Source organism: Homo sapiens, chromosome 9 (assembly GCF_000001405.40).
Source record: "Homo sapiens chromosome 9, GRCh38.p14 Primary Assembly".
NCBI classification, from domain to species: Eukaryota; Metazoa; Chordata; class Mammalia; order Primates; family Hominidae; genus Homo; species Homo sapiens.
In genome coordinates, this window is record NC_000009.12 from 92,096,290 (window position 1) to 92,116,490 (window position 20,201).

Sequence of the window (20,201 nt, forward strand, 5' to 3'; positions counted from 1 at the left end):
CCATCCTCACCCCTCTAAAACACAAATGGTAACTAAATGTGGTGATGGATATGTTAATTTGATTGTGGTCATTATTTCACAATGTGTGTGTGTGTATATATATATAAATATAAAATCATCTTATTATACATCTTGAATATATACAATTTTTATTTAGCAATTATACCTCAGTAAAACTGAAGAAAAAGCCAAGCCCATTTTAACAGGGCTCTCAATGACCATTTTCATGTGTCATTCTTGAAAATAGACCATCCTTACATTTATGGTCAACTGATTTTCAACAAGACAACTCAGAAGGGAAATAGTCTTTTCAACAAACGGTGCTAGGACAACTTGACATCCACCTGGAAAAAGATAAAGATAGGCCTCTACCTCACACCATATACAAAAATTAACTTGAATTACACACTAAATGTAAGGGCAAAAACTATAAACTGTTAGAAGACAGGAAAGAGTAAATCTTCATAACCTTAGATTAAGCCAAAGTTTTTACAGATGACAAAAAAGTACAAGCAACAAAAGGAAAAACAGGGAAGTCAGACATCATTAAAATAAACTTTTGAATTTCAAAGATCACTATCAAAGAAGTAAAATAAAATCCCACAGAATGAAAAAAAAAATCTGCAAATCATATATCTGACAAGGGACTAGGATTCAAAATATATAAAGAACTTTTACAGTTTTAATGATAGAAAGAACCCCCAATTGAAAACAGCTAAGTGATTAAAGTAGACATTTCTCCAAAGAAAATATACAAATGGCCAATAAGCCGATGAAAAGGTGCTCAACATCATTAGTTATCTGGGAAATGCAAATTAAAACCATAAGATCCCACTTCCCACCTACTAGGATGGCTACAATAAAATAGAAAATAATAAGCATTGCTAAGGATGTGAAGAAATTGTAAACCTCATATGTAGCTAGTGGGAATATAAAATGATGCAACCACTTTGGAAAACAGTTTGGGGGTTCCTCAAAATGTTAAACACAGAGTTATCACATGACACAGCAATCCTACTCCTAGGTATATATCCAAGAAAAATTAAAACATTATGCCCATGCAAAAATGTGTACACATTATTTCATAGCAGTTTTATTATTTTTTATTTTTTCATATACTCTTACGAGGGAAAAAACCCAATTGTGCATCAACTGATTAATGTATAAACAAAATGTGTGTATCCATACACTGAAATATTATTTGGTGATAAAATGAAGTACGGATACATGCTACAATGTGGATGAGTCCTGAAAACATTATGTTAAGTGAAAGAACCCAGAAACAAAGGCTAAGTATTGTTTATTCCTTTTAATGTGAAATGTCCAGAATAGGCAAGTCCATAAAGTAGATAAATGGTTGCTAAGGCCTGGGCAGAGGAAGGAGTGGGAAGTAACTGCTAATGGCTTTGGGATTTCTTTTGGGGTGATAAAAATATTTTGGAATTAGATGGTGGTGATAGTTGTATAACTCTGGGAATATGCTAAAAACCACTTAATTATACACTTCAAAATGACAGATTTTATGGTATATAGATTACGTATCAATACAGCTGCTGTTTAAAGGAAAAAAACCTTACACTTCAAAATGGTAAATTTTATGGTAAATAGATTATATATCAATAAGGCTTCTGTCTAAAGGAAAAAAATCTAAGTTAATTCGCTTACTCTTGTGTCAACTCAGTATTGAATGTAAATAGGTATTGCATAAATTGAAGAAAAGTAACACTGAATGTAATCTGATTGGACTCCGGTGAAGACTCCAAGATGGCGATCGGTAACCATCTTGGCTACCCTGACTCAGCATTCCCGGATTCACCGGTTCCCGCCATCTCGGCAGCCATCTTGGCTACCCTGACTTGGCATTTTCGCTTATTCCCGCCATCCTGACAGCCACATCGGGTACCCTGACTCAGCATTTCCGGGTTCACCTTTCCTGTTCCCGCCACCCGGACCAACGCGCATGCCCACTAGGGCGTGTCACACTCAGAAGCACGAAACTCAACCTATCCCGCCCCTACCCCGCCCACTCCTCACCCAGCATCCATAAAAGCGCTCTGCACCTTTGGCACAGCGCGACTTCCCTGGCCCTCCCCCTGCGGACCAGTGAACCTCGCCCGAGAGCTCAGTAAAGATTTTTGCCCTCTTTGTCTCGCCCCTCAGCCTTATTGATCCACAGTGCCCTTCCATTGCCTTTCACTATCAACAAAACAACCTTCAATTTTCTTGTAGTTTCTGCAAACAATTTACATAATGTTCTTGATGACAATAAAAATATTGTGCATATTGAAAAAAAAGAAGGGATGTTAACAATCACCAGATATTGAGGAAGTGTCTAACAGATCAATAAAACTGATAAAACAATCAGTACAGTGCAAAAGGGTAAAAATAAAAAATTTTAAGATGTGTAGGTTTCAAAAAAAAAAATTCACCTTCCATGACCCTTCTCTGAAATCTATCTATAATCTACTGTAAACCAAGAGACAGGAAATAGCCAATGCAGAACAGAGAAAGGAAATTCTCAAGCTAATGGTGATGGGACACTCCAGGGCCACCCTGTGTAGCAGCTGCATATAACAACCAGTCAGGAGTGGAGCAGGAGAAAGAACAAAGAAAGTGAATCTAATAGATAACTAACGTGTGAACATTCTGAATGGAGTTTTATGCTCCTAGAGGCAAACAACATAAAGACCACTGTAGAACCAATCAAGTAACCAAACAAAAATGATTAACTCTGGGGAAAACAAAAGTATCCAATAAAGAAAATATAGCCTCATAACATTGGCCCAACTAATGAATAATACTAATGAAGTCATAAAAATATAACCACTAAATTATCTAAGGACACATTATCCTATATCTGAACTCTGCCAGAAGAAAGGGCAGAGCAAGGTTGCTGCATGAGCTGGGGTCCTGTTAGGGGCACCCAGGGATCGGCACCACAGCCCAAGGTCTGCACCAGGCTGCTGCACTTGCTGGAGGAAGAGTACCTTCCCCTAATCCACACAAAGGCATGACAGGAGCTATTCCAGGCCTGGGCACAGTGAGTGTAGATGTGTTTTCAGAGAGCCAGTCTCAAATCGCCTACAATTAATGGATATACAGTCGCGTGCCATTTAACATCTCAATTGACAAAATGGACCACATATACAACAGTGGTCCTATAAGAGTAAAATACTGTATTTTTACTGTACTTTTTTTTTTTTTTTTTAAGACAGGGTCTGGCTCTGTTGCCCAGGATGGAGCACAGTGGCACAATCTTGTTTCACTGCAACCTCCACCTCCCAGGCTCAAGCCATCTTCCCACCTCATCCTCCCAAGTAGCTGGGACTATAGGCCTATATTACCACACCCACCTAATTTTTTGGATTCTTTGGTAGAGAAGGGGTTTTGTCATGTTGCCCAGGCTGGTCTCAAATTCCTGGGCTCAAGTGACCTGCCCACCTCAGCCTCCCAAAGTGCTGAGATTGCAGGCATGAGCCATCATGCCTGGCCCTATTGTACCTTCTCTATACTTAAATATATTTAGATACACAAATACCATTTTACTACAACTGCCTAGAGTATTCAGTAGAGTAACATGCTGTATAGTTTGTGACCTAGGAGCAATAGGCTATACCATATAGTCTAGGTGCGTACCAGGTTATAGGTACACACTACACATCTAGGTCTGTGTAAGTCCACTCTATGATGTTTGCATGACAATGGAATTGCCTAACACATTTCTCAGAACGTATCTACGTCATTAAGTGACGCATGACTGTAAGGAAACCTGGGGAAAAAAAAGTCAAGAAGAAAATAAAGAACAACATAAGCAAGTTTCTTAACAAAAAAAAAAAAAAGGTAGGTCAGGTATGGGGGCTCACGCCTGTGATCCCAGCACTTTGGGAGGCCGAGGCGGGCAGATCACCAGAGGTCAGGAGTTTGAGACCAGCCTGACCAACATGGTGAAACCCCATCTCTAGCAGCCTAGTTTAGGAAGCTGCTTGATGCCCACAGGGCTATACTGCCCCAGAGAAGGAGCCCACATATAGCACCATCTAGAAAGCCAAGCCATAGCTGAGTATATTCTGTTCCATGAACTAGTGGTCACTGCCTCCTTCCATCCCAGGGGCTACCCTGTCATTACAACAGCCTTCTCCAGGAAAGCAGCTACTGCTGTCTATATCCTAGAAACAAACTCTCAAAGAGGTTTGCCTTCCACATCCTAGTGACTGCAACACTCTAACTGTGGACCGATTACTGATTTATTGTGCCATCAGTGCGCTCACCAACTGGCCCTGGTGTTTCTAGGTGATCCCCATCTCAAACCTGCAGACCAGCCCCAGTAATCCACAGCTAGGCGAGTGTTTCCAGGGGAGTCCCATCTCAAACTGGTGTACCAACCCCTGTGACTCAGTAACACAGTCACTAGATAGGCATGCAGCTTCCTGACACCGCCGCCTTCTCCCCCAGCCCCCAGTCCTGAGCAGAAAAACAAACTGCACATGCTCCTACAGCCTAGGTCACCAAGACACTCACAGGTATCACCAAAATGGATACTAGCAAAAGAAAAAAAAAAAAAACAGGCAAGAGAAAAGCACAGATATTACACTACTGTGTCCTCCTAGAACTAAAGCAGATGCAGCCCATCCAACTGACACCCTAAGACACATCTCCAGGTGAAAATCTTTCTCTACATAAGCCACTCTATACAATTAGAACAGGTGACCGTGTCAACAGTCTCATAAATATAAACATAGGAGATAAAAAGCATGAAAATGCAATGAAACTTGACACCACCAAAGTTGCACAATAATTCTTCACAAAGTTACCCTAAATAAATGGAAATTTTCAAATTGCCTTAAAAGGAATTTGAAATATTGATCTTAAGAAAATTCAATGAGATACAAAAGAATACAGAGAGAAAACTTAATCGAATAATAAAAAAAAACAAGCCATAGCCTGAATGAGAAATTCAACAAAGACATAGATACCATTAAAGAAAACAAACAGGCCAGGCGTGGTGGCTCACACCTGTAATCCCAGCACTTTGGAAGGCCGAGGTGGGCGGATCACGAGGTCAGGAGATCTAGACCATCCTGGCTAACAGGATGAAACCCTGTCTCTACTAAAAATACAAACAATTAGCCGGGCGTGGTGGCGGGTGCCTGTAGTCCCAGCTACTCCGGAGGCTGAGGCAGGAGAATGGCGTGAACCTGGGAGGCGGAGCTTGCAGTGAGCCGAGATCGTGCCACTGCACTCCAGCCTGGGCGACAGAGCAAGACTCCGTCTCAAAAAAAAAAAAAAAAAAAAAGAGAAAAGAAAAAAGAAAACAAACCAACAGAAACCTTAGGAATGAAGAATTGAATGAATTAAATTAAAAAGTACCACTGACAGCTTCAATGGCACACTAGATCAAACAAAAGAATTTCTGAACTTGCAGACAGGACTTCTGAAATAACCCAGACTGAGGGAAAAAAGGAGAAAAAAAGAGTAAAAAGAATCAAAGAAAGTCTATGAGACTTGTGCCATGATACTAAGATAACAGATTTTGAAAATATAGAAGAGAAACAGAGAAAAGAGACAAAGACACAGAAAACTTATTTAACAAAACAATAGCTGAAAATCTCCCAATTCTTGGGAGAGATACGGACATCCAGTTCCGTGAAGCTTAAAGGGACATATTCAACCCAAAAAGGCCTTTTCTAAGGCACATTATAATCAATTTGTCAAAAGTCAAACACAAAGAAAAACTTCTAAAATTAGCAAGAAAGAAGCATCAGATCACAAATAAGCAAGTCTCCATTAGACTATCAGTTTTCACAGCAGAAACCTTGAAGGCTAGGAAAGATGAGGATGATATATTCAAAGTGCTAATGAGAAATCAGTCAGCAAAGAGTACTGTACTGAGCACAGCTACCCATCAGAAATTAAAGAAATAAAGTCTTTCCCAGACAAGCAAATGCTTATGGAATTCATCACCATAAGACCAGCCTGACAAGAAATGCTTAACAAGTGCTTCAATCGCAAGTGAAAGAATACTAATGCAAAAACAGGACACTATCCACCTAACTGTTAAAAGTAAATTCATATTCAAACTGAGAATTCTACATTACTGAAATTAATGCTTTAGAATCTTTCAAATCACCCTTGAGAAAGCTGAACATCAAAATAGTCAAAAATATTTATATCTACAATGAGTTATTAATAAACACCCAATACAGAACAATATAAATTAAGGCAAAAAAGTACAAATTTTGTGCACTGACAAGGGATGTGGGGGTAGTATAGCAGGTTCGTGTGTGATCAAAATTTTTATCAGCTTTAAATAGTCTATCATAACTATACATTTTTAAATGTAAGCTCCAGAGTAACCAGAGAAAAAAATTACACCAGATATGTCAATGAAATAAAGGAATCAAAGCTTATCAGTACAGAAACTCACCAAACCATAAAGCAAACAATAAAAAAAGAAACAAAAGATCTACAAAACAACCAGAAAACAATTAACAAAATGACAGAAGTTAACTTCTTACCTTTTAATAATATCTTTGAATATAGATAGTTTTGATTCTCCAATAACAAGATGTAGAGTGGCCAAATGGTTTTTCATACATGTTTCCCTAGTCCAGACACCCAAGAGTATGTCCCTCTCTTGGGCATAAGAAAACCTAGAGTTATATTTAGGGCATCATGTGTGGTGAATAGTTGACCGAGCTGGCATGCTCACAATGACCAAATTATGTTTGTCATATTTTAATCCAATATATTGATCTACTATGAACTCGTAAATAATGTATTTGCTTTCTAGACACATTCCAGGAAGACCAGAGAAACTGACTTTTATCCATATGGAATAATCCACTGGCAAATTTCTTTTAGGACAGACCAAAGCTGATCTAGAACATAATCTTTACATACGTGGATCCTTCCCATCAGACGAGAAAGAACATCTGGGGTGAAAGGCTCCATTAGAAGAGCAATGTGGGATGGTGCTGTGCTGACAACTGGTAGTTCCTGCCCTACATCTTTGTAGAAGACTGGAGCCCAGAGCATGCCATGGTCAACTTCTATGCTGAAGTGAAGACCTCCTTCGAGGTGTGCACGTGCTTATTACAGATATGCCACGGTGCTAAGTACCCCAGAACTACAGGAAAAAATAAGAATAGATGCTGTATCCATGATCATGAGGCACACAGGCCAGAACGCCAGCTGTGGAATCGCACAGCCCAGGTTCAAAGCCTGGCTGGGCCATGACCACCTGAATGACCTGAGGAATGGTCTCAGGCAAATTTGTAAAAAGCGGAGACCCTGCCTGCCAGGGAGGCATGTGGTAAGAGGCGCATCCAGTCAGGTCAGGGCACCGCGTCCTCTCTTTGGAAACCTGCGAAGCAAGGCTGGTGGCCCTTGAGGCCACGGCAGCCATGGAGAAGGCGGGCCTTGCTCCAGGCGGCACAGAGGCACTGGAAAGGCCCCGGGGGAGCCTGGCAGGATCTGGCTGGTCCTGTGCTCTGCTTCCAGGTTCTGGCCCTGTAACCCGGGGGACAGGGCCGTCCAAGACAGGGCCACTGGGTGCCAGCCAGCACCTGGGCCAGGCGCCATGGCTCTGGCGGATCAGCCCCGCACCCCCAACAGCCCCACAGGGGGGCCCATCCAGGGCCACACACCTGCCCCCAGGAGCAGGACGTCCCTGAGGCTAGAGTCCAGGGGGACTGGTGGAAGGGTCTCACCCTTTGCCCTTTGACTCCTCTTGTAGGCACCCTCGCTGGGCTCCTAAGCACTCCTTCACACCCTGGCTCTGTCACCAGCCCCATAGTGATGTCATAAACTCCCAGATGCCCAGTGTGCACCCGGCCACAGAGAAGTGGGTGACTTCGGAGTATCCTCTCCGCTTCTGACCCTTAGTTTCGTCTGTGCACAACTCGCTCAAAATGGGCAACTCACTAAGCATATTTTGTTCCTGGTTCCACCGCAGGTCCTGGCCACGCCACCGGCAACCTGCTCGTCTTGTCCGTGAGGCCTTCCCAGCTGGCCGGGCTCACCCCGCGGCTCCTGCACCTGTGCCTGCCCCGGGAATCTGGGGCCGTTTCCCACTCCTCTTCAACCGTCAGCGACATCTTGGGCCTTCTTTTCCAGTCAGGTGGGATGGCGCCCCTGTGAGGCTGTGTCTTATCCCTCGGAACACGGGCACCCCACAGAGGGTCCTGCCTCCTGTGGTCTGGAGCCCCCCCCTCAAGGAAGAAACCCGTGCTGTCTGCTCGCAACTCCAGGATGTTTGGACACCTCAGCCCCGTGAGGATCTCTTGTCTCAGAGGCAAGTTTAACCTTCAACTTCCTTCATTAGATGAGCAGGTGATCCCAGCCAGGCTCCCGAAGATGGAGGTGAGGGCAGAAGAGCCCAAAGAAGCAACGGAGGTGAAAGACCAGGTAGAGACCCAGGGGCAGGAGGACAATAAAAGGGGCCCCTGTAGCAATGGGGAAGCAGCTTCCACCTCTAGGCCCCTGGAGACTCAGGGAAACCTCACTTCCTCCTGGTACAATCCCAGGCCCTTGGAGGGAAATGTCCACCTCAAGAGCTTGACAGAAAACAACCAGACTGACAAGGCCCAGGTGCATGCAGTGAGTTTCTACTCCAAGGGCCATGGAGTCGCCAGTTCACACAGCCCTGTTGGAGGCATCCTTCCCTTTGGGAAGCCTGACCCACTTCCAACAGTGCTCCCTGCCCCAGTTCCGGGCTGCTCCCTGTGGCCAGAGAAGGCGGCCTTGAAGGTGCTGGGTAAAGACCACCTGCCCAGCTCTCCAGGCTTGCTGATGGTGGGGGAGGACATGCAGCCCAAGGATCCTGCAGCTCTTGGATCAAGTAGGTCTTCTCCACCCAGAGCTGCCGGCCACAGGTCCCGCAAAAGAAAACTGTCGGGGCCACCGCTGCAGCTGCAACCGACCCCTCCCCTGCAACTGAGGTGGGAGAGAGATGAGGGGCCCCCACCGGCTAAGCTTCCATGTCTATCTCCTGAGGCACTGTTGGTGGGTCAGGCTTCCCAAAGAGAAGGACGCCTCCAGCAGGGCAACATGCGTAAGAACATGAGGTTGTTAAGTAGAACATCAAAATTCAGGAGACTAAGAGAGCTGCTTAGGAGGAGAAAGAAGAGACAGCAGGGCAGGCGTGGTGGCCCACGCCTGTAATCCAGCACTTTGGGAGGCCCAGGCGGGTGGATCAGGAGGTCAAGAGATTGAGACCTGAGGAGCATCTCTGCCTGTACCATCTGGGAAGTGAGGAGCGCCTCTGCCCGGCTGCTCCACCATCTGGGAAGTGAGGAGCGCCTCTGCCCAGCCGCCCCACCATCTGGGAAGTGAGGAGCGCCTCTGCCTGGCCACCGCACCGTCTGGGCAGTGAGGAGCGCCTCTGCCAGGCCCCCACCCTCTCTGGGAAGTGACGAGTGCCTCTGCCTGGCCGCCTCACAGCCCGGGAAGTGAGGAGTGCCTCTGCCCAGCCGCCGCCCTGTCTGGGAAGTAAGGAGCGCCTCTGCCTTGCCGCCGTCCTGTCTGCGAAGTGAGGAGTGCCTCTGCCCGGCCTCCTCACCGTCTGGGAAATGAGGAGCGCCTCTGCCTTGCCGCCGTCCTGTCTGCGAAGTGAGGAGTGCCTCTGCCCGGCCTCCTCACCATCTGGGAAATGAGAAGCACCTCTGCCTGGCCGCCGTCCCATCTGGGAAGTGAGGAGCACTTCTGCCCAGCCGCCACCCTGTCTGGCAAGTGAGGAGCACCTCTGCCCGGCCCCCTCACCGTTTGTAAGGGAGGAGCGCCTCTGCCCAGCCCCTGCACCGTCTGGGAAGTGAGGAGCGCCTCTGCCCGGCCCCCTCACCATCTGGGAAGTGAGGAGCGTCTCTGCCCGCTGCTGTGCAACCTTCCAAGTGTGAAGTGACAGCCTTGTGTGTGATCTTTCTGCCCTCCCCAAGTCTGCATTTTCGACATTAAAGTTTACTTTTTAATTAAAAAAAAGGAGATTGAGATCATTCTGGCCAACATGGTGAAACTCCGTCTCTACTGAAAATACAAAAATTAGGCAGGCATGGTGGCTTGTGCCTGTAGTCTCAGCTACTCGAGAGGCTGAGGCAGGAGAATGGCTTGAACCCAGGAAGTGGAGGTTGCAGTGAGCCGAGATCGCACCACTGCACTCCAGCCTGGTGACAAAGCAAGACTCCGTCTCAAAAAAAAAAAAAAAAAAAAGTAAGACATGGCAAACTGCAGTGGCACCCAGCCTGCCCCTGCTGTCTCCACACCTGCTGAGACTCCCTGCCCCTGGCCACCTACACTTCACGGATCCCAGCTCCTCGTCTTACTCTGACTCGGCCCACGTGCTGTTGGGCCCCTCATTTTGCCTGTCCCTCCACCTTCTCTCACACCAAGAATTGAGTAAAATTTGATATCCATAATTCCTAACTCTTCCCTGGCTCTTCCCACTGACCTTGCCCCCATTTTGGGGGTTCCACCTAATGAGAAAGGAGGCTGCTCTCATTCAGCTGCAGTTTCAGTGCCTCTGACCTCTGACCCATGCCCCACACATCCTAGCCCCACATCTTTCTCCTTCCAGCCTCCCTTCAGAAGGGAGCCTCCTACACCCATATGTGTGCATTCCTCTCCTCCTCTTTCCTCCCCTCCTCCTCTTCCAGCAACTTTACTATAGAAAACAAAAGACCCAAGTATGCAAGCAATATATACCATGTAAATGGGTAGTGAGATTAAGTATCAGCAAGATACCAAGCCTCCTAAATTAATCCATAAATTCAACACACTTCTAATAAAAAACCCAAATGCATTTTTTTGGTTAAATATGATCACCTAAACCTAAACTCACAGTGAAGAAGGGTCAAGAATAGTCTAGACAATTTTGAAGAACACGGAGATAGAAAAACATTCTAATCAACGTTTATTATAAAGCTGTGGTATACATGAATGAGTCTCTGGTATAAGGAGATACGAATATATCCAATGAATAAAAATAAAAGCCAGAAATAGACCCTTTAGAAGGGAATCTGGCTTACCAAAGAAGGGAAATTTCCAAGCAGTAGGTAAATACTGGATTATTCAACTAATAATGCTGAGACAACTGACCATCATATGGAAAACAATCAAATTAGATCTTTAGGGTAGGAAACGATTCCCTAAGACTTCAAAAGACCAAACTATAAAAGATTGGTAAATTTGGGCCAGGTGCGGCGGCTCACGCCTGTAATCCCAGCACTTTGGGAGGCCGAGGCCGGCGGATCACAAAGTCAGGAAATCGAGACCATCCTGGCTAACACAGTGAAACTCCATCTCTACTAAAAATACAAAAAATTAGCCGGGCATGGCAGCATGCGCCTGTAGTCCCAGCTCCTCGGGAGGCTGAGGCAGGATAATGGCGTGAACCCGGGAGGCGAAGCTTGCAGTGAGCCGAGATTGCGCCACTACACTCCAGACTGGGCGACAGAGCGAGACTCTGTCTCAAAAAAAAAAGATTGGTAGGTTTGATTTCAGAATATATAAAAGTTTTATAAGACTGAAGAGATCTACAGAAGTAAAGAATAGAAGCTCCTGTTTGATCAGATCAGAATCAGAACAATACTACTCAGGAAAATATCTTGTATCACATTTTAAAATAAACCAAGTATTTTTATGGCAACAGGCATATATGGTAAAATTATAAATATAGGCAAAGAAAACACAATCACCAACTTCAAGACAGTAGTTATCCGTATGAGAGGCAAGAGTAAGTGATGGATGTGAAGGAATTTCTTAAGATGCATTTGTAATATTGTATTTACCTGTAAAAGTAAGTTTGAATTAAAAATAGCAAAATGTTAACACCAATTAATTCTGGGTGGTAGGTATATAGGTGTCTGATATCTATATCTATATCTGATAACTTTCTATATTCTTACTGTATTTCTTAATTAATGAAAATACATACAATATAGCAAAGATAGCCAAGAGAATGAAAAGTAAAAAATAGATGAGACACTGGAAGCAAGGAGGAAAGAGGCATAAGTGAGCGGAAGCTCCATAATTCATATTGTGGGGATCAACAGGTGTTGTCTGTAGTTGATGAATCAACAAATGGTAGTTAAGCATACTATACAGTATCTAGAATTATGAGGGTAACGTGCGACAAATTTAAAATCAGAAAATAACCAGATGGGTAAAAAGCAGAAGTCTGTTGCTTTTCATTTTAAGTGTTCGACCATTGGAAATATTAACATGTGTGCATTCTTGGAAAAAAGGGCAAACATTAATGCTTAAATTGGAGATTTTAAAAAATGCCTGTATCATCCCTAGAATAAATTTTTTAAAATCAGGAGCTAAAGCTGTTACTCCTGGGAACTTCAAAATGTTTTGTTTCAGATAAAAAAAGGACTACTACATATAAAGCACTATAGACTGCAGGTTACTACAAGAAGCCAAATACAAGTACTTCAGGTAGCAAAATCAATTTACCCTGAAACGATGTTGTAGTTGAGAGCAGGATGGTCTTTTGGGACAGGAGGAACAAGAGGTTCTGGTTGCCACTCTTCAATCAGTTCTTCTTTTTCCTACAGGAGAAAAAGAATTAAAATACAGTGCAGTGCTAATATTATCAATTATTAGTGTCTCTGCAACTTCAGTATTTCTTATTATTCTAATTCTACTAACTATTCTCAAGTTCGCTGTCACTCTTATTCAAGCTTATGTCTTCACACTATTAGTACGTCTTTGTTCGCATAATACATAATGACCCACCAGACACATGCCTACCATAGAGTTGTACCTAGCCCTTGACCACTAACAGGAGCTCTCTCGGCTCTCCTAATAACATCTGGCCTAACCATAGGATTTCACTTTAATTCTACCACTCTTTTAACTTTAGGCCTACTAACCAACACACTGACTATATATCAATGATGACGTGATATTGTCCGAGAAAGTACATTCCAAGGCCACCACACAGCAATTGTCCAAAAAGGCCTCCGATACAGGATGCTCCTATTATCTCAGAAGTATCCTTCTTCGCCGGTTTTTTCTGGGCATGCTATCACTCCAGTTTAGCACCAACCCCAGAATTAGGAGGACATTGACCCCCAACAGCTATTCTTCCCCTGAACCCTTCAGAAGCACCTCTCCTAAATACGTCTATATTACTTGCATCAGGAGTTTCAGTGACTTGAGCCCATCACAGCCTAACAGAAGGTAACCAAAAACAAACAATTCAAGCACTACTTACCACAATCCTCTTAGGAGTCTATTTCACCCTTCCACAAATCTCAGAATATTTCGAGGCCCCCTTTATTATCTCTGATGGAATCTACAGCTCAACATTCTTTATAGTCACAGGCTTTCATGGACTTCATGTTACTATTGGATCAACAATTCTCACCATCTGCCTTCTCTGCCAATTAAAATTTCATTTTAGGCCGGGCATGGTGGCTCATCCCTGTAATCCCAGCACTTTGGGAGGCCGAGGTGGGCACATCACCTGAGGTCGGGAGTTCGAGACCAGCCTGACCAACATGGAGAAACCCCGTCTCTAATACAAATACAAAATTTGCTGGGCGTGGTGGCACATGCCTATAATCCCAGCTACTCGGGAAGGCTGAGGCAGGAGAATCGCTTGAACCTGGGAGGCGGAGGCTGCGGTGAGGCAAGATTGCGCCATTGCACTCCAGCCTGGGCAACAAGAGCGAAACTCTGTCTCAAAAAAAAAAAATTCATTTTACATCCAACCACCATTTTGGCTTTAAAGACGCCACTTGATATTGACACTTTGTAGATGTCGTATGACTATTCCCATGTGTCTCTATCTACTGGTGAGGGTCCTACTACTCTTTTAGTATAAGCAGTACCACTGACTTCCAATCAACTAGTTTCGACAAAGTCTGAAAAAGAGTAATTAACCTAGCACTAGCCCTAATAACTGACACTTTATTAACTCTATTATTAGTAGTAATTACATTTTGACTTGCATAACTTAATACTTACATAGAAAAATCCAGCCTTTATGAATGTAGATTTGATCCATTAACCTCTACCCACCTCCTCTTCTCCATAAAATTCTTTCTAGTAGCCATCACATTTCTCCTATTCGATTAGAAATCGTCCTATTCCTACCCCTGCCATGAGCCCTTCAAACAAATAACCTTATACTAATAATCAGTACAACCCTTCTACTAATTACCATTCTAATCCTAGGCCTAATTTATGAATGAACCCAAAAAGGATTAGATTGAGTTGAACTGGTAAATAGTTTAAATTAAATGATTTCGACTCATTAGATTATGATAGACCATATTTACCAAATGCCATTTATTTATATTAACATTATATTAGCATATACCATAGCACTGCTGGGAGTACTAATCTATCGATCCCACCTAATACCATCTCTATTATGCCTAGAAGGCATCATACTATCAATATTTATCATAAATACACTCATAATTTTAAACATGCATTTCACTCTAGGATTCATAATACCCATTATCCTCTTAGTATTTGCTGCCTGCAAAGCCGCAGTAGGCCTTGCTTTCCTAGTCTCAATCTCCAACGCATAAGGCCTAGACTATGTACAAAATCTAAATTTACTCCAATGCCAAAAATTATTATTCCAACAATTATACTGTTACAATATAACTCTCCAAAAACTCTATAGTCTGAATATAGCTACTCATAGCCTATTCATCAGCCTCATTACCCTATTATTTTTTAATCAACCAAACAATAATTCATCTAACTTCTCATTAACTTTTTCTTCTGACGCATTAACATCACCTCTTCTAATCCAAACAGCCTGACTACTACCTCTTATAATCCTAGCAGGCCAACATCACCTATCTAATGAATCACCCTTATGGAAAAAAACTCCGTATTTCCAAATTAATTTTCCTACAACTTTTTTAAATTACAGCATTTACAGCCACAGAACTAGTCATACTTTACATTCTTTTCGAAGCTACACTCATCCCTACCCTAATCATTATTACCTGCTGAGGTAACCAACCAGAATGCCTAATGCAAGCTCATACTTATTTTACACACTAGTAGGATCCCTTCCCTTACTTATTACACTCATCCACACCTGAAATAGCTCAGGTTCACTAAATATCCTAATAATAATGTTTACTAATCAAGAACTATTAAACTTCTGATCTAACAACCTTATATGACTAGCATGTATTATGGCTTTTATAGTAAAAATACCCCTATACGAACTTCACCTATGACTCCCTAAAGCCCACATAGAAGTCTCTATTGCCAGCTCAGTAGTTAGGAGGCTACGGTATCATATGACTTACCCTCATCCTCAGCCCCCTAATAGAATATATATCCTACCCCTTCCTCATACTATCCTTATGAGGAATAGTTATAACAAGCTCTATTTGTCTAAGACAAACTGATTTAAAATCACTTATCACTCATTCCTCCGTAAGCCACATAGCACTTGTTATTATAGCTATCCTTATTCAAACCCCCTGAAGCTTTTCAGGCGCAGTCACTTTACTTCAACTTCGGCAATATCAAAATTGTCTGCTGCAATGCAAAAGTCACAGTGAATACACTGCTAGAAATACCATGTCTCGTTGTGGCTAGAATAAAAACAATCACTTGTGAGTTTTGTGCACTAACCACCCTCGCCTCTTTCCTTATCACTAGAGCTAGAGGTTCTTTTCCATGTAGTTTTGTGGGTGACTTGACAATTTATGAAAATTTAACTTCTATGCTCAGAATTCTTTTTTGATTTACCATACACATAAAAATTCAATTTGAGATGGGTATGAGTAGGATTCTTTTCTACTCTGACTCTCCTTTAAGAAGACCACAGGGGAATCTTTATCCCATACTTCAGAAATAGTTGTGCTATTCTGCAGCAACTCACACAACACTTATGAATATTCAAACTCCAGTAGTTGCCCATGCTTCCCTCTAACCATCTATTTGCAAGACTGCTGTTTACTCCTAGCAAAGTATCCAAGACCATAATATGGTCTTCATTTGGGTACTGACTTTATTTCTAGATTTCCCCATATTTTGCCTACCCTAATAATTCATTCCCCTTGATTTCCTTACATTACAGAAAATGCTTTAACACACATGGTTGAGCCACCACAAATCCTTTCTGGAAAGACATAGCAACTATAATCACATACCCAATAATTAAAACAGAGATTTAATTTCGTACCTTGACTGTAAGATCAGATCGTTCTTGTAATTTGTAAGTCTTAGAGAAAAGAAGTCTGATTATCCAGAGGATCAGAATCCCTTCCAAAATAAGATGGTAAGCAGGAGCCTAAGAGTGAGTCAAAAACAAGTAAGATATGAAACATACACTTCTAACACCTGCACATAAAATTTACTACACCTGCATATACTGCCTCCTGTGACTTTTAGCCTATTCTTAACAATTTACTTTCGAAGCTCCCTTAATTTCTATTCATTCCTTTCCCCATTTCTAATAGCAGGCAATTTCTCCCTCACATGAAAAACCCCTAATATTTTTAGCTTTTAAAACTTCTTTGGGAATAAAAATTAAAATTAAAAAAATAAAATCTAGGCCAGGCGTGGTGGCTCATACTTGTAATCCCAGCACTTTGGGAGGCCAAGGTGGGCAGATCACCTGAGGGCGGGAGTTTGAGACCAGCCTGACCAACATGGAGAAACCCTGTCTCTATTAAAAATACAAAATTAGCTGGGTCTGGTGGCGCATACCTGTAATCCCAGCTACTTGGGAGGCTGAGGCAGGAGAATCGCTTGAACCCAGGAGGTGGAGGTTGTGGTGAGCCGAGATCACACCACTGCACTCCAGCCTGGGCAACAGGAGCAAAACTCCGTCTCAAATAAATAAATAAATAAAATCTAACACAGAATCCCAATATTAACCATCGGATTATTTAATTTCAGTGGTTCTTTTTTGGGTACACTATACAAGACTACTCAAATTCTACATTCAACACGCATAGGATTTGGGAGTAAGAAGTTTATGATGAATTTTAAAATTTGCTCATCCCCCTAAATACAATTCATTTATGAATAAGTCTAAATACCCTTTTAGTTTTCTCAATAGTTGGATTCTAGCAAGCAAACATCTGCCCCAGCCACTAGTTAAGAGCCCACTCCAAAAAGAAATCACCCTAAGAAAAGCTGAGAAACTCTCTCTCTAGTGAATTAATAAAAATCACAAACACCACTTCTTTTCCTTCCCAGGAAATGTTACATACAGGAGTTCTCCCAAGTCTCACTGTTGGACAGTTTCGGGGAATGAGAAGTTACACTACTGTCAGTCTTCAAAAAGGGAGCAAACAACATTTAACAGAAAATAATCCATTTCTTTAAAAAATCATTTATAAAAAAGATCATTCAATTTTAGTGGCTCATTTTAGGTCACTACAGTTAACCTAATACTGGGCATCACTTAATACATGAGCATAAGACAGAGCCACATCTGCTGTCTCTGCTGTTTCAAGATAAAATTCCCAGTATGTCCTGCAATGGAAGACACTGTCATTACCCCTACCAGTAGACGGTGATATTAAGTTTGGTGATATTAAATCATCAAAAGTAAAGTGAAATTCACTTGAAATGAATGTAAGCTCTTTAAGCACAGGGACTTCTGCCTATTTGTTCACCGCACTATCCCTAGCATCTAGATCTGTGTGGTCCAATGTGGACAGTCACTAAGTTACACGTGGCTATTTAAGTTAAATTAAAAATTCAGTTGCAGCTGGGTGTGGTAGCTCATGCCTGTAATCCCAGCACTTTGGGAGGCCAAAGCAGGAGGATTACTTGAGGCCAGGAGTTCGAGGCCAGGCTGGGCAACACAGCAAGCCCCCGTCTCTATTAAAAAAAAAAAAAGATTAGTTGGGCATGGTGGTATGTGGTCCCAGCTACTCGGGAGTCTGAGGTGGGAGGATCGCTTGAGTCTGGGAGGTCAACGCAGCAGTGAGCTGATCGCACCACTGCACTCTAGCCTGGGCGACAGAGTGAAACCCTGTCTTTAAAAAATAAAATAAAATAAAATAAGTTCTTCAGTGCCCAATGAATAGCTCTGCAAGACAGCACGGGGACTCTCAGTTATTAAATGAATGAACACTAAGATTGACATTCTGGTTTCTTATTATCTTATGTATCTGAAATAACTAGGCTTCAAAAAACTCTTAACTATTCTTCCTTTAAAAGTCTACGGCCAGGTGCAGTGGCTCAAGCCTATAATCCCAGCACTTTGGGAGGCCAAGGCGGGCGGATCACCTGAGGTCGGGAGTTCGAGACCAGCCTGACCAACATGCAGAAACCCCGTCTCTAATAAAAATACAAAATTGGCCGGGCATGGTGGCACATGCCTGTAATCTCAGCTACCTGGGAAGCTGAGGCAGGAGAATCGCTTAAACCCGGGAGGCGGAGGTTGTAGTGAGCCGAGATCACGCCCTTGCACTCCAGCTTGAGCAACAAGTGCGAAACACCGTCTCAAAAAAAAAAAACAAAAATAAATAAATAAAAATCGACTAAACTAGTTGTATCTTTATAAGACAGAAAACTGATGTACGCAGAAGAATGACAAACTATTTTTTATTCACAAATCCTAAGTCACTTGATTTCTTTTCGACAAAAACAAACTCCAATTTATTACAATTTTATTCCCCAACGAACTGTACCGTAGTTCCAAAGAGCTGACTTCCTTAGGACCTTCCCAGACGAAGGTGTTCCACTCATTTTCACCACTCCGTTTTATCGTCCGTCTAAACTCTGGTTTTTGCAGACCTGTCTCCTGCGTCCCCTTACACGTGTTCCTTTCCGGAGCTTCCAGGGGACCCGGAGCATAAGAATTCAAACCGAGACCCTCAGTCCCAGCCCCCGCCCCCGCCCGTTCCTCCCTACACTCAACCGCTGGGACTAGAAGCTCCCGGCAGTCCTTCCAGCAAGAGGCACCGAGTCTGGGCGTGACCGAGCCAGTCCCGCCGAGGTCTCAGGCCACAAATCCACACGCGTCCTCCCACCCTCCCCGGGCCCGGGTGTGGTCGCGGACCGCTAATGGCGCGGAGCCCACCTCGTAAAGCGCCTGTACCATCTCCACCAGAACCCACTGCTCCGTGGCGGTCGCCATAGTTAGCCGCTTCCTTCCGGAAGGCGGGTCACAAGCGCGTCCCAAAAGTGCGCGTCGCTGCTCAGTGTCGTTATCACCTCCGCAGAGGGCGGGGCGGCGGAGCGCTGGGCACCGCCTACTCGCACTTGCGCACTGGTTGACAGGAGGCTGGACGGGGTCAGGTGGGATGCCGCAGTTTTTCCAAGAATTGTTTACCTTGTGTCCTATTACCCTCCCTGCTGGATTCAGGATGGAGAAAGTAGTAATGAACGGGCCTTACACTTGGTCATCAGCTGGGCGCAGAGAGTTAAAATGATTGCAATACGTTTACTTTATTTTTTTTTTTTTGAGACGGAGTTTCGCTTTTGTTGCCCAGGCTGTAGTGCAATGGCGTGATCTCGGTTCACCGCAACCTCCGCCTCCCGGGTTCAAGCGATTCTCCTGCCCCAGCCTCCCGAGTAGCCGGGATTACAGGCGTGGGCTACCACGCCTGGCTAATTTTGTATTTTTAGTAGAGACGGGGTTTCTCCATGTTGGTCAGGCTGGTCTCAAACTCCTGACCTCAGGTGATCCGCCTGCCTCGGCCTCCCAAAGTGCTGGGATTAGAGGCGTGAGCCACCGCGCCTGGCCAATACGTTTACGTTTAGTAGCATAAGTAATCCAGCAATGCATTATCATTAAGAAATGCATAATTATACACAAAAATAGCCAACCCATATAGCACTTCCTGTTTTGTCAGACATAGGCCAAGGCTTTGCAGGTATTAAATCATATAGCAGTTTGGTAAAGAACCTTTTAGAGCCTTCCAATGCATATGCAAACAGTATGCACGCGCACATACTTAATTGGATTGGATTTCTTAAATATAATTGAGATCATAGGGACAAGACTTTTCTACAACTTTTTTTAAATTTTTTTTCTAGCATTTTTTTCCTAATATATCTCATATTTAATGGCTGAAGACTTCCATGGAATAATTTATGTATATTCATCGTTCCATTTTATGTAAACGTTTCCCTATTGGTGAATACTTATGTTGTTCCCACCTTTCCCCTATTACAAATAATGCTGCCATAACTGTCGATGTTCCTTGTGTGTATATCTTTCTGTGCATGTTGGAGTTTTTCTGACCAGTTTTTTC

General features: G+C 43.3%; 1 protein-coding gene and 6 pseudogenes across 6 annotated transcripts in view, besides 2 other annotated features; 6 read left to right on the forward strand and 1 right to left on the reverse strand.

Moving 5' to 3' along the window:
• SPTLC1 (serine palmitoyltransferase long chain base subunit 1) overlaps positions 1-19,124 on the reverse strand; it is an 84,267-nt gene extending 65,143 nt beyond the window's left edge. For 4 of the 6 annotated variants that reach the window (NM_001281303.2, NM_006415.4, NM_001368272.1 and 1 more), the window contains exons 1-3: positions 19,025-19,124; positions 16,166-16,273; positions 12,451-12,545 (exon numbers count right to left, since the gene is read on the reverse strand). In NM_001281303.2, coding sequence (NP_001268232.1) covers positions 12,451-12,545; positions 16,166-16,273; positions 19,025-19,081 — 260 coding nt within the window. In that variant the 5' untranslated portion in view covers positions 19,082-19,124. Of the gene's footprint in view, positions 1-6,515; positions 6,651-7,709; positions 7,737-12,450; positions 12,546-16,165; positions 16,274-18,632; positions 18,778-19,024 lie in introns of those variants that run through there. The other 2 variants (NM_001368273.1, XM_047422638.1) reach the window with 2 other exon arrangements.
• Positions 6,975-7,475: an enhancer, noted in NCBI's record as "H3K4me1 hESC enhancer chr9:94865546-94866046 (GRCh37/hg19 assembly coordinates)". NCBI's record gives its function as "activates a minimal SCP1, AML or CMV promoter by ChIP-STARR-seq in naive H9 embryonic stem cells {active_cell/tissue: H9 hESC(naive)}" and the evidence as "EXISTENCE:reporter gene assay evidence [ECO:0000049][PMID:30033119]".
• On the forward strand, positions 7,836-9,362 carry LOC100420896 (putative UPF0607 protein FLJ37424 pseudogene; annotated as a pseudogene).
• MTATP6P29 (MT-ATP6 pseudogene 29) lies at positions 12,569-12,700 on the forward strand (annotated as a pseudogene).
• Positions 12,724-13,806, forward strand: MTCO3P29 (MT-CO3 pseudogene 29; annotated as a pseudogene).
• On the forward strand, positions 13,879-14,225 carry MTND3P23 (MT-ND3 pseudogene 23; annotated as a pseudogene).
• Positions 14,286-14,579, forward strand: MTND4LP7 (MT-ND4L pseudogene 7; annotated as a pseudogene).
• Positions 14,576-15,543, forward strand: MTND4P15 (MT-ND4 pseudogene 15; annotated as a pseudogene).
• Positions 19,627-19,686: an enhancer, noted in NCBI's record as "active region_28589". NCBI's record gives its function as "activates an Ori minimal core promoter by ATAC-STARR-seq in GM12878 lymphoblastoid cells {active_cell/tissue: GM12878}" and the evidence as "EXISTENCE:reporter gene assay evidence [ECO:0000049][PMID:35858748]".